Source organism: Homo sapiens, chromosome X (genome assembly GCF_000001405.40).
Source record: "Homo sapiens chromosome X, GRCh38.p14 Primary Assembly".
NCBI classification, from domain to species: domain Eukaryota; kingdom Metazoa; phylum Chordata; class Mammalia; order Primates; family Hominidae; genus Homo; species Homo sapiens.
Window position 1 is genome coordinate 153413280 of NC_000023.11, and position 13519 is coordinate 153426798.

General features: G+C 53.3%; 2 protein-coding genes across 5 annotated transcripts in view; one reads left to right on the top strand and one right to left on the bottom strand.

The window, feature by feature from the left end:
- Positions 1-725, bottom strand: part of PNMA6E (PNMA family member 6E) — an 18366-nt gene extending 17641 nt beyond the window's left edge. Inside the window, exon 1 of the mRNA XM_047442374.1 lies at positions 295-725. The gene's annotated coding sequence lies outside the window, so the exon portion shown is untranslated. The remainder of the gene's footprint in view (positions 1-294) is intronic.
- Positions 1-13202, top strand: part of ZFP92 (ZFP92 zinc finger protein) — a 15010-nt gene extending 1808 nt beyond the window's left edge. For 2 of the 4 annotated variants that reach the window (NM_001136273.2, NM_001386944.1), the window contains 4 exons: positions 5026-5076; positions 5394-5520; positions 6949-7053; positions 7364-13202. In NM_001136273.2, coding sequence (NP_001129745.1) covers positions 5044-5076; positions 5394-5520; positions 6949-7053; positions 7364-8349 — 1251 coding nt within the window. In that variant the 5' untranslated portion in view covers positions 5026-5043 and the 3' untranslated portion in view covers positions 8350-13202. Of the gene's footprint in view, positions 1-4202; positions 4552-5025; positions 5077-5393; positions 5521-6948; positions 7054-7363 lie in introns of all 4 variants that reach the window. The other 2 variants (NM_001386945.1, NM_001386943.1) reach the window with 2 other exon arrangements.
- The last annotated feature ends 317 nt before the right edge of the window (positions 13203-13519 follow it).

Consider the following 13519-nt stretch of genomic DNA (forward strand, 5'->3'; position numbering starts at 1 on the left):
CCCCATCTAGTGGTCGTCTTAAGGCATCCTGCTAGAGCCAGCTCTCCCCTTGGTTGGCCAGGCTTCCTTGCTGGCAGTGGCCCTGCTCTCATCCCCTTCCCAGCCCTCCCCGCGTGGAGCACCCTGCATACTCAGTTCCACCCATAGGCTAAGGTCCGCAAGCAGGGGTCCCGGGTCCGAGGCCCCTCACAGAGGTGGAGCAGCCCTGGAGGGGCCGGCAGTGGCACCGGTCACCCAGGTTGATGGGCCTTTCTGGCTCCTCACCTGAGGCGCCAAGGTCTGGTGGATTCTCACCTGTGTGCCCGATGCTGTGCCTCGGGGAAGCCTGGCTTCAGAGCCCAGGATTATCCTTCTGCTTGGCCTCTGCTCTGCTGGTCCCCAAAGGTCACAGGGTCTTGCTGGTCCAGCTGGAAGAAGCTGCTCTCTAGTTCCGCCAGGTGCCTTCCAGGTGCTTCTGTCCTCAGATGCACGGAGTAGTGCCCACCTGGGTGTTATTTGAGTTCTATGGGCACAGGGTTTGTCGTGTCTTTCTTTCCAGGAGTTGAAATTGTAGATGATTTTCGGGAACTAGCTCTCAAGGACAGGCACTGCTCTGGGTGACGGCTTGGTGTGGCCAGCACCTCCGCTGGGTCTTCCGATGCTGCACTTGAGTGCGGGTCTCCGTCTCTGGGCGGCCTCCCGCCGATGGGGTGTTCACTCAGGGGGTCACCACTCAACAGTGCTCTGCTCCCTTGGGGCTCAGACCTGCCTCAGTAATCTTGGGGTGGAGGGACTAGAGATAACTCCTCCCCCTTTCAACTTGTCCAAAATGGGTAGTGAACTTTCAGTACTGTTATGGTAAGGAAAAAAATGAGCTTATGCTGCTTTTCAAAACAATAATTTTATACTAGTCTGAAAGCACTGGCAAATTATCAGTAATACCTCCCCACGCACCTTTAGTTTTGCAGGGGTCCCAGTGACTGACAGTGTGTTATAATGAAATGAGGTGTGGCCTGCGGACATTAGAATGATTTTACCTACAGGAACATTTCTTTTCCCTCCTTTTTGATTGAGGTGAGATTCACACAACATAAAAATTAATTTTTTGAGACAGAGTCTAGCTTTGTCGCCCAGGCTGGAGTGCAGTGGTGCAATCACGGCTCGCTGCAACCTCAACCTTCCCAGTTCAAGCCATCACCCCACCTCAGCCTCCCAAGTATCTGGGACTACAGACACGCGCCACCACACCCAGCTAATTTTATGTATTTTTTGTAGAGATGGGATCTCACTATGTTGGCCAGGCTGGTCTCCAACTCCTGAGCTCAAGTGATCCACCCACCTCGGCCTCCCAAAGTGCTGGGATTATAGGTGTGAGCCACCACGCCCGGCCAAATTAACCATTTTAAAGAGAACAATTCAGAGGCCATTTAGTACATTCACCATGTTGTGCAGTCACCACCTCTACCTGGCTCCAGAACATTCTCATCGCCCCATAAGGAAACCTCTAGACCCATTAGCACTCACTCCCCATCCCCCCACCCCCGGGCACCCACCAATCTGCCTTCTGACATGATGGATTTACCTGTTCTGGACAGACATGTTTTATGAGAGTTAAAGGTTCTTTGGATGACAGGACCCTGGGATAGATGAAAGGCACAGCTTTTTGTTCTGTATAGCTCTGAACGAGAGAAGGCTGCCAGGCAGGGCCACACAGAGGTTAGACCCGGGGACCGGGAAACAGCAGCTGGGGCCGGAAGGGGCCAGCAGAGGCGGGTGGCTAGGTTTCTCCAGCTTCCTTTGGATTGATTGAGTTGCATAAGTTTTCAGGCTCCAGGACATAGGGGCTGTCCCTACTTGTCTGGTGCCTGGCCCCAGAGTGTGGGGGCCCAATGAGGCAGGGGCCGTTGGAGTGTGTGTTTGGTGGCCCCAGAGAGAGGGAAATTGTAAGAAAAGTGGTGGGAGTGGGGACTTAGCAAACTGCCCTCGAAGGGCATAGAGATGAGAGGTTTTAGCCACTATTTCAAAACTAGGTCAAGACGGCTCTTGGGAAATGTGATGTTACATCACAAAATGGAATCATACAATATGTGACCTTTCAAGTCTGCATCTGGCTTCTTTCACTGAGCAGTGTCCTCAGGGTTCATCCACATGGTAGCATGTGTCAGAATTTCCTTTCTTTCTATGGCCAAATACTTTTCCATTGTATATATAGGCTCATGGTGTTGGTCCATCCATCCATCGATGGACATTTGGGCTTCTTCCACCTTTCGGCTCTAGTGATTAATGCTGCTGTGAACACAGGTGCGCAAGGGTTTGTGTGAACCACCTGTTTTCAATTCTTTGGGGGTATATACCCAGAAGTGGAATTGCCGGGTCATATGATAACTATGTCTAACTCATTGACAAGCCACCAGTCTGTTTTCCATAGTTTTTTTTTCTTTTTAATCACCATCTTGCCTTTTTTGTGTCAGCTTTTCTCTCTTTCTCTTTGTGAAAGGTTTTAAAGTAAGTTGCATGCCATTCCCTCCCCCAAATGCTTCAATATGCATTTCTTTAAAAGGGACATTTTCTTCCATGACCCAGTGCCACTATCCATCCAACACATGAGCAGTTATGATCCCCTACTTCCTTCCGAGGGCCACCCCATAATCACCCTCTCCCAATGATCCCTAATCCCTTTGACGACTCTCTCATTTACGCCAGCATCTCATTGACGACCCCTCTTGCAGTTGGGTGTTGGACCCCGTAAATCTCTTTTCATCTAGAACAGCCTCTCTCCCCAGTCTCCTTTCTCCCCCCATGACACTGATTTGCAGAGGATACGGGACCCGTTGCTCTATGGAACAGCCCCTTTCTGGGTCAGGCAGGTTGCTTCCTTGTGGTGTCATCTATTCCCAAGGGCCTCTGGACACTGGACATTGAGTGCCAAGGCTGCGTTCAAATCCAGTCATATGGCTTTGGTAGGATACCTTCCTACTGCATCCTGGCAGCAGGACTGTCCCACCCTATGTCCCACTGCTAGGTTAGATTACTCTCTTGCAGCCCTCAAATAATCACAGGATGGCATTTTGATATGTGATACCCCTTTCTCTCTCAAGTCTTTAACCTAATGGTTTAGCATCCATTCCACCTTCAGGGATTCAGAACATCAGCTTATGTATCTTGGACCAATGTTGGCTGGCAGGTCATCATGGATGATAAGGGACTTTGGAGCAATTTAAATGCCAGGCAAATACTGTGGCTGTCCTTCTCTATGCTCCTGGGATCCTGTGCCCTCTCCCTCTCTCCTGTGGCGTTGTTGGCACAAACAAACTGTAGTCACCCATTGGAACATCAATAAAAGCTTGGAGACCAACAAAATGGAAATCCCAGGCAGAGAAGCAGAGAAACCAGGAAGTAGCTGGTGGGGGCGTGTGCTGAGAAAGGAACAATCTTTTACCCCCCTGTCCTAGTCCTCCTGTGTTGCTGTACAGGAATACCAGAGGCTGGGTAATTTATAAAGAGAAAAGGTTGCTTTAGCTCAGGATTTTGCTGGCTGGAAAGTTCAAGACTGGGCGTCTGCATCTAGTGAGAGCCTCAAGCTGCTTCCATTCAGGGTGGGAGTCTAAGGGGAGCTGGTGGCGCACGGCATGTGCAGAGATCACGTGGCCAGAGGGGACGCAAGATGAGGGGAGGAGCCAGGCTCTTTTTAACAATCAGCTCTCACAGAGCAAGGACTCACTCACCCCTGAGGGAGGGCATTAATCTGTTCATGAGGGACTCACCCCCACGACCCAAACAACTCCCATGAGGCCCCACCTCCAACACTGGGGATCAAATTGCAACGTGACGTGTGGAGACTCAGATATCCAACCCACAGCACTGACTGCCATCTGGCATTGAGAACTGCTGTGGAGAAGTCCTGAGGCCGAGGTGAATTTTGTCCACTTTGTCAATTTCATGTTCCCTACTCTTAGCCTGAAACTCAACTTCCTGCTGTCCCTCCAGGGTCCCACGTGGTGTCATCCTCTGCGCCTGTTCCCTAATTTTCAGCACCACGAATGCCAAATGCAGGACCATCTGAGGGCCAGGGTATGTGCTGTGCTGTTGGCTGGCTACTCTCTTTGCCACTTGCAGCCTCCAGCTCTCTGCCTGAATGTCACCCCTTCAGAGAGCACCCCCACTACTGTAGGTCCCCCTTGATTCTGCACTGCCCTCACCTCTCTTCTCTTCATTTTGCAAAGGGAGGTCGTACATGTGCATTTGGAGTTTCCTTAAGAATCCCGACCTGAGGGAAGGGGATTGGCAGTGGAGCTTCCAGGAATGGCTGGAAAGTTGGGGTCAGGGGACGCTGGCCACATGGGGAGAGAGCTAAGAAAAGCAGCAAAAGAAGAAAAGAAAGGAAAGAAGGAACGGGCTCCCTCGAAAGCCTGGTCAGGCGAGCGCCAGTATGGAAGTGGGCATGGCACCTCAATTGCAGAGAGTGTCCTGGGTTTGAATGGTGCCCCCCAAAAAGACATATTGAAGTCTCAACTCCTGGTATCTGTGACTGTGACCTCATTTGGAAAGGGAGACTTTGCAGCTGTAATCAAGGTAAGATGAGGTCATACTGTAGGAGCAGGGTGGGCCCTAATCCAGTGATTGGCATTCACAACAGACCAGGGAAATTGGGACACAGACACACACAGAGAGAGGATGGCCACACGAAGACAGAGGCCAAGAAGGATTGCTGGAAACCACCAGAAGCCGAAAATGGCGAGAAAGGGGCTTCAGTGGAGCGGGGGCCTGCCAGCACCTGGATCTCGGACTTCTGGCCTCCAGAACCGGGAGAGAAAAATGTGTCTTGCTTGAAGGCCCCGATTTGTAGTACTTATTATGGCCGCCCCAGGAAGCCATACAGAAGGTCTGATGGTGAGGGGCCCTTGGTGAAGCTGCAGGAGTGAGAACACCACAGGTGGCCGCTGTGCTTATTTCACAAGAAAAACTAAGCAGGGTCTTCAAGCAGGTCGCAGATTGGCTGCTCCAGGCTGCCCTGGGCTCACAGGGGGCTCTTTGCATTTCCCTTAGCTCCTCTGCGCCCTGGTGATGGCAGCCATTCTCCTGACCACGAGACCCAAGGTGAGTGGTGGCCCCTCTCCCTGGCCTCTCCCCCTGGCAGCCCCCGTCTGCTGCCTCCTCATGCCCAGGCCTCTCCAGCTGGGCTGAGCTTAGGCTGCCCTTAGCATCGTTTTCCTTTCCTGAGGCGCACAATCTGGGCTTCCTGCCTCTGTCGGCTGTGCTGCCTGTTTTTCTGTCTTACAACTCGTGCAACCCGAGTCTTTCCACCTGCTGAGCCTTCCAGGGCTCCCCCCGCCCCCCACATTTTGTTTCTGTCAGCTCCTCCAGGGGCCCAGGGGGTTGAATTCCCCTGTGGCCACAAGAATGCCTTATTTTAGGTGCCAGTATCTTTTGAGGATGTGTCCGTGTACTTCACAAAGACAGAATGGAAGCTTCTGGACCTCAGACAAAAGGTCCTCTACAAGCGGGTGATGCTGGAGAACTATAGCCATTTGGTGTCACTGGGTAAGTGATCCCTCCACGACATACACACACCCAGTCCCACCTACTCTGTCTCTGGGCTCAGTTTATTTCCGAGATTCCTGTTTGTCGGTTGCTATGAGCCCAAGAATAAATGCATTTCTCCATCAGACCAGTAATGCCAGTAATCCATTGCAGGCCAGCCGCCATCTCAGTAGGATGGTTTTTAGCTAAGTGGTCTGGACCTGTAAATGTTTTAGGTAAATGCGTTGGCCTGTAAGTTTCAGTACCAGTCTTATCTTGTGTATAAAATCGTGGATCGACTAAAGGTCTTTCTACTCAAAAGAGAGATGCAAATTCTACTGGAATATTTATGTGCACTCTTTTAGACTTAATTCGTTTCTATGACGGCTGCATTTTGCATCCGTTCCACTTTGTAAAATTTAGCAACATCTTTTCCTTCCATTGACCAGGGAGGTCCCACATAAGGACAAAGTGTAGACTTGGATTTCAAGCCTTGAGAAGTCCCGGGAGGAGCTGGGGCAGCTTGGAGCACACTGCTCTCCCCCTTCCATGCCAGTGCACACCCACTGCCGGAAGGGGCAGCAATTTTGCCAATTAAAGGGCAAAAGCAGGAGTCACAGGCTAGACGGATGGGGGCCGGAGCACTCAGGAAGGTTTTCAGGTGGGGTAAAGAACGTCTGAGGGTGCCAGTGACTTGCCCCCACCTCACGCAGCTGATGAGAGATGCATGCGTGAAACAGAGTGGGACTGGGCCTCTGGCTTTTCCCCCAGTGTGCCCAGCAAGGCTGGCTGCTGCAGCTAAGCTCAGACACTCCACTTCCCAGTGGAAATGGAAACACTCCACTTCCCCTTGCCGCTGGAGGGGAAATCCAGAGGGTCTTCAACATTGCACTCTACTGCCTTTGGGGTTGTGGGAGTCTGACTCCACAGATTTTGCCTCTGTAATCTAGCCCCATAGAGGGAAAGCAGCTTCATCCCCTGGATTCCTTCTGACACTCACCAGGCAGACCTGGGGTTCCAGGGAGGGGTCTGGGATCCTCAGTGGAGTTGGATGATGAAACAGGGCAATTCAGCTTTCGGGGCCTATGGCTGTCGGCCTCCCAATAGTCCCTGGGGCTTGCAAGCCCTTCTTCTGTCCCTCAGGGTGCCCACACACATCCCCGATTTCTCATGAGCTTCTCAGCCTCCCTGCAGGCCAGGTGACAAACACAGTTGTCCTCATGGCCCAAATCGCCAGCTACTGAAGATCTCCGTGCCCACCTGGCCCTGGACGCGCAGGAGCCCTTGCCCTCGTAGAGGGACTTGGCCCTTTCTCTGAGCCTTCCCAGTAGTGCTTTTTAGAGAGTTCTTTATTCTCTGTTACCTGAAGATATTGAGAATTGCCTGAGTTCAGGAGCGACCCTGCCCTCAGCCATAGTGGTCTTGACCTGCTTCATATTCCACGCCCAGGATTTTCCTTCTCCAAGCCTCACCTGATCTCCCAATTGGAACGAGGGGAAGGACCCTGGGTAGCAGACATCCCCAGAACCTGGGCCACCGCAGGATTGCACATAGGTGAGTGAGAGGTGCTCAACCAGCTCCCCATCGGGGTAAAAAGAAATAGCAGTGGCAAAGGGGGCGGGGGAGGGTACCCTGCCGCTTTGGGTGGGAAATCCTCTTTGGAGGCAGATGTCAATCTCCAGGTGTCACAGCAGCCCCGCTATCTCCAGCCCATCCTCCCGCCCCTTCATCTCTCCTGTCTGCCTGTGTGATGGCTTTCTGTTCTGTGGTCACCTTGCCCCATCCCCCTATGTTCTCACCTCCTGCTCGTTCATCTCTCTGACTTGGCATGAGGGTGACACTGCCTGGTGCTCTGTCTTTCCAGGTGACAGAACACAGAGCAAGACGTCGACTTCAACGCAGAAGCATTCTGGACGACAACTCCCCGGGGCCGATCCACAAGGTGGCAAGGAGGGGCAGGCGGCGAGGTCGTCTGTGCTCCAGAGAGGTGCCCAGGGCTTGGGGCAGAGTTCGGCTGCGGGGCCGCAGGGCCCCAAAGGCGCGGAGAAGCGGTACCTGTGCCAGCAGTGTGGGAAGGCCTTCAGCCGCAGCTCCAACCTCATCAAGCACCGCATCATCCACAGTGGCGAGAAGCCTTACGCGTGCCCCGAGTGCGGCAAGCTGTTTCGCCGCAGCTTCGCGCTCCTGGAGCACCAGCGCATCCACAGCGGCGAGAAGCCCTACGCCTGCCCCGAGTGCAGCAAGACCTTCACGCGCAGCTCCAACCTCATCAAGCACCAGGTCATCCACAGCGGCGAGCGGCCCTTCGCCTGCGGCGACTGCGGCAAACTGTTCCGCCGCAGCTTCGCGCTCCTGGAGCACGCGCGCGTGCACAGCGGCGAGCGGCCCTACGCGTGCCCAGAGTGCGGCAAGGCCTTCAGCCGCAGCTCCAACCTCATCGAGCACCAGCGCACGCACCGCGGCGAGAAGCCCTACGCCTGCGGCCAGTGCGCCAAGGCCTTCAAGGGCGTCTCGCAGCTCATCCACCACCAGCGCAGCCACAGCGGCGAGCGGCCCTTCGCGTGCCGCGAGTGCGGCAAGGCCTTCCGTGGCCGTTCGGGCCTCAGCCAGCACCGGCGCGTGCACAGCGGTGAGAAGCCCTACGAGTGCAGCGACTGCGGCAAGGCCTTCGGCCGGCGCGCCAACCTATTCAAGCACCAGGCAGTGCACGGCGCCAGGCGCCCTGCGAAGGCGGAGACGGCGCGGAGGCTAGCGGGCCCTGGGAGCACCGGCCCTGGGAGCGCGGTGGCGGCCACCAGCCCCCCGCGGCCGAGCACAGCCGCCAGGCCTTCCAGGCCCAGCCGCCGCTGACTCCCCGCCAGCGCACCCAGGGCGCGGCCGGTCTGCGTGGGGGGCCTTCCTGGGGACGTCGAGGCTCAGCCCCCTTCAGGTGGGAAGACCGCCCTCCCAGGGCCTCGATTGCGGCCACAGCCCTGACCTCTTTGGCCATCAGAAGACCCCAGGCAGAGCCTCACCCTGAGGCTGAGAAACGCAGGAAGGACTCAGAACCGAGGACTGCCGCCTGCCCTGGCTCCTCCATCAACGGCAGTGCGGGCTGGGAATGGAGGCCCTCTACTCCCTCCTGAGTCCTGGGCCTTGCAACTGAGGCACATAGATGGCACCTGGGCCACTCGTCCCTGAGCCACAGGTACTATCGAGTGTGCACAGGCGTGCGTGGAGGGGATGCGTGAACCATCCCTCGGATTTGCATCAGAATCGCCTGCTGCGGGTAGGGAGGAGGCCACGTGAGGCCAGTGAGGCCAGCCAGCGCGGGGCACGCTGGCTTTGAGTTACAGAAGAGTGGTGCATTTCCTCCCTGGGGGTCGTTCCCCTCGCCCTAAGAGTTGTTAGTGTTCCCAAGTAGAAGATACTGAAAGCACTTTAATCCTTTAAGCGCTTATATTGCAGGTGGGGGAGGCGCTAAAGTTAGCACAGAGGCAAGAGGCTCCCTGAATGTTGGCATAGGATGGGGGGCTGTGCCAGAAAACTCCCGCCTTGTCTGGGTGGCCCCAGCTGCTTCTGGGAGGAGGAGCAGCGCCCAGGCCCCATCATCCCTGAGCACCAGTGGTTCTGGGAATGGCTAGCCCAGGCCCTGCAGAGAGGATAAGACCCTTCAAGTCACTCACAATTGGACATTTGTAGCTAGCCACCCTCCAGGCTTTGCTTTCCCCCCTGCCCGCCCACTGCCTTCTGCTCCCCAGACCCCACCAGCAAAGGCCACCCTGGCCTCTCTGTCCCCTGTCCCCCTGCCCCGCCCCACCACCAGTGCCTAAAGCTTCGCACTTACCTGCTCCTCCCCATCAGGCAGCCTCTCTTGCGGCTGGTGACGATTAGGAGGAAAGCCAGACGGGTTAGGAATTTGCACTTAGGCAACAGAGCAAGCCCAGGAACGAATCTTTCATCGAATGTCTTTTGCGTGACATTTTGTAGAATACTGGACGTTCCGTTGCTTTGATTGTTTTTGTATTCAGGGGTAATGTATATTGAAAATAGAGATTTTGCCATATCAGAGTATCAGGGATTCACTCCCTAAATAAGAGTCCCCCCAGCCCTCTGAGAAGACCTCAGGCAGGAGAAAGGGGGCCACCCCAGGCCTGCCCCCAGATGAGTGTGGTGGCAAGCCTGGCCCCTCTTCTCCCTACAACGATGCAGTCCACCCCTCTTCCCCTTAGCCCTGCAGAAACAGGGCAGACTCTTCAAATGGCACTTTACTGAAAGCCAAGGGGAATTCTCAAGGAAAAGTCTCAGGGCTGGCAGAGGCAGCTGCTGGCAGGCCTTATCCTAGTTCCCCAGCGCTGTCCCCAGAGCTGGGCTCAGGAGCTCTGCCCCTTGGTGCTCTCAGCCCAGCGTCCTGGTCAGCGGCCACCTCCTTCCAGCCCTGTCCCCTCCCAGGGGAGAGGGGGTTTTTCATCCACAAGGCCTGAGGGCAGGTGGGTGGTAGGCGTGGTGGAGGGGGGAGGTTCAAAGACAGCTGGCTCCTATCAGGAGAGTGTGGGAAGACCCAAACATACAGGATTCCCTCGGAGAATGCTGCTTGGAGTGCCAGTCACTAGGACAACTCCAGAAATAATGTTATACACACACACACACACACACACACACACACACACACACACGATATATATAGTTTTATGAAAACTTCTAGAGTTCTTGTAAGTTGCACTTATACCGTAGCCTCCTTCAGTGTGTCCCTATTCCCCATCCTGTGATTGCGTTCTTGTCTGCAAGCTGGTCTCATAAGCCCACAAGTGTGTGTCATGCCTGTCCCCATGTCCTTGATGCCAAGCCCGGTGCTGGTAATCAGTAAGCATGAGTGAAATAGGTCTTGCAGTCCTAGCACCTCAGACTCAGGCTTGGGACCATTGTCGGCTCCAGCCTTGCCTTGAGGCAATCCGAAGCATCTACGACTTTGGGTTTTCCAGAAAAAGAAGTATTAGGAATGGTGTATTTGAAGTCCCTGATGAGGCCATTGGGAAGTCTGGGTTTTTCTGCTGTGCAGACAGTCTTTGCAAGGGCTGGCATGGGCCCAGAAATGCAATCCTCGTGCAGAGTAGGTGCCTGTGGCAGGAGGCCATGCAATTGGGCTCTAGTCTTGCTTCATTCAACTGAACCAGGAAAGAAACAGATCCACGCACTCTGATACCCATTTCCGTTGTTCTAGGAGGTAAATGATTTCGTTCCTACAAGCCAGACAGTAGCCAGCTTTCACTAAAGAAGAATCGACTCCTTAGTATCTTGTCATGCCATTGGTTCTGATGCATAAGTGAACCCTGTTTTTAACGGAAGCTCCTTTTTTTTCACCTCAGGACCTACCCAAGACTGTCTAGATACTGGCAGGACAAGGTACAGGAGTTTTCAGCAGAAAGTGGAGTTGCCAGGAGAGATGCTGGGCACTTGCACTGTGACTTTGGAGTGCCGGGAAAAGTTCCAGGGTCCCCAGTGCTTACTTAGATAAATGGCATTTAAAATAGTGCAGCCTTTTATCATTGCTTAGTCTAATTTAGCTCCCCATAATGACATTCTCACTGCAAGGTGGTCATTGCTATCATTTTCTTTTGGGTGTGGCAGTTAGGTATGCCACGTGAGCTGAACGGGTTTCACATGGAATCAAAGTCAGAATGTTCGAAAAGGACATTTGTGTTTTTCCTTCAATGGTGCCTTGAAATTGGGCTCCCTCCCTCTTGCTGTGTGGGGAACTGGGAGGGTATAGCCCAAGCTTGCTTTGTGATGGACAGCTAGAATGTAAAAGCTTAAACTATGGGGAAAGTCTTGCCTGTTTTCCAAGGCTTCCTCCACCCTGCCACCGAAGAACTTACCTGGATGCCAACCTGGGACCCCTTTGTCTTTGGGCTTTTGCCCTTTGAAACTGTGAATGCTTCAAGAGCCACATAAATGCTCTGGCAGTGTCTCCATGTAACTAGTAAATTGTCCTGGCTGGATTCGTTGTGAAATGGAACTGTCCCATTTACTTTGGTTGCAAATAAGGAAGATGTATGAGTATTGGCCTGGAAATGAGCCCTCTAGTGTAGAGAGGTTATTCTGAGGGTTTAAACTACATGGATAGGCCTTGGGTTCAAGGTTACAGGAAAGGCTGTAAGCCTGAGATTGTGGGGAATGGCCAGAGCTGGGCTTTGGGTGTTCCTTGTGGGGGTCCCTGTGAAGGTAAGACAGAAAGGCATTCTGGGTGAGCTGCCTCGGGTCAGCCCAGGGGTGCAGGCTCCTCTGACTGGGACCACAGGCAGCCACCCGAGGCCACTCAGATGCCGTGACTCTGAGACCAGAGGGAAGGGAGGCTGGGCCTGGTCCCCTGTGTTCCTCAGCAAAGTGCCACATCAGTCTCCTGAGAACACAGCTGTGTGTTCTTTCCAGTCGCTTCTGTTCCCAGACTTCAGGCAACATGGCAGCTCCCATACTTGCCAGGGTAGTTGGAAGGGCAGCTCTGGAGACAGGAAGTGGAGGTAGAAGCAAAGGAAGGGAGTCCTTGGCTGGGAAGTGCTTGGGTTCGGACAGACAGGGAAGAAGGGAAAGTATGAGGTGTGTTCAGGGAAGCTTAGAAGGGCAGAGAGGTTTCAGTAGGACATGTATGGGCTAAAGGGTCAGTTAGAACCAGAGTATGGAGAGTCTGGGATGCCATATACAAAAGTTTGGGCTCTAACAGTCTCCTGATGAGGAGCAATTTTCCAAAACATGAAAGAATTATTCTAAGAATGACAAAGGGAAGTTAATATAAATTATGACTACCACAGGGTTTGAATTTACACACTGACCACCACAAATTTTATAACTGTAGTCGTCTCGATGGTTGTGATGCCCATGAGGTGTTGGGCTGGGGGCATGATGACGCTGAGGCAACATGAGAGGGGACGTCTTTGACACCAGGGCCCCAGCCACGTGTCTCAGGGGCTCCCACTTGCCATGGGACTCGCAGCTGGTTCCATCCGATGCCAGCCCCAGTGCATCTATCACTGTCTTCACAAAACGGGGGTCCTCCAGGAGTTCTGGACAGCTGCTCTGCAGATTCTTATATACCTTTAATCGAAGGCCTTGGACTTTTGAGAGGAGCGCAGTGCCCTCCTTTTGTGTTCAGGAAGGCCAAATTAGAGCCTTCTCCACCGCCGGGGAATATTCATGTGGGAAATGGAGGCCTGCTGCAGACCTGAAGGTCAATGATTGTTTAATCTTTCTTTGACAGCATTATGAAGGTATAATGGGCATACAAGAAACTGCACGTCTTTAAAGTGTACAGTTGGAGGGTTTTTGGCATGTGTGGACACCCATGAAACCTCCCCCATAATCAAGACAGTGAATTGATCCGCCACTCCCAAAAGTGGCCTTGCGCCTCCAGCAACCCCTCTTTCCTGCTCCTCACTGTCCCCCATCCCCACCGCCACTGCTTGGCTTGCTGTCACTATAGATTAATTCCCATTTTCTAGAATTCCATAGAAATGGACTCATACAGTGTATGTCTGGCCTCTTTCACTCAGCACAATTCTTTTTTCATCAGGTGTTTTTGTGCATATCAGTACTCCATTTTTTTTTATTGTTGGTAGGATCCCATTGTATGGGTGGACCACAATACCTGTTGAATACCTGTTGATGGACATTTGGGTTGTTACCAGGTTTTGGCCATGACAAATAAAGCTGCTGTGAACATTTGTGTACCAGTTTCTGCGTGGACATATGTTTTCATTTCTCTTGGATATACGGCTAGGAGTGGAATTGTTGGGTCATGTGGTAACTCTGTGTTCAACTGTGCGAGGAACTACCAAGCTTTTCCATAGCAGCTGCACCATCTTATGTTCCCACCAGCAGTGTACAAGCGTTTTAGTTTCTCCATATGCTCACCAACCAATATAGTTTGGATCTGTGATCCCACCCAAATCTCATGTTGAATTGTAATCTCCAATGTTGGAGGTGGGGCCTGGTGGGAGGTTACTGGATCATGGGGGCAGGGTTCTCACGAATGGTTTAGTACCATCCT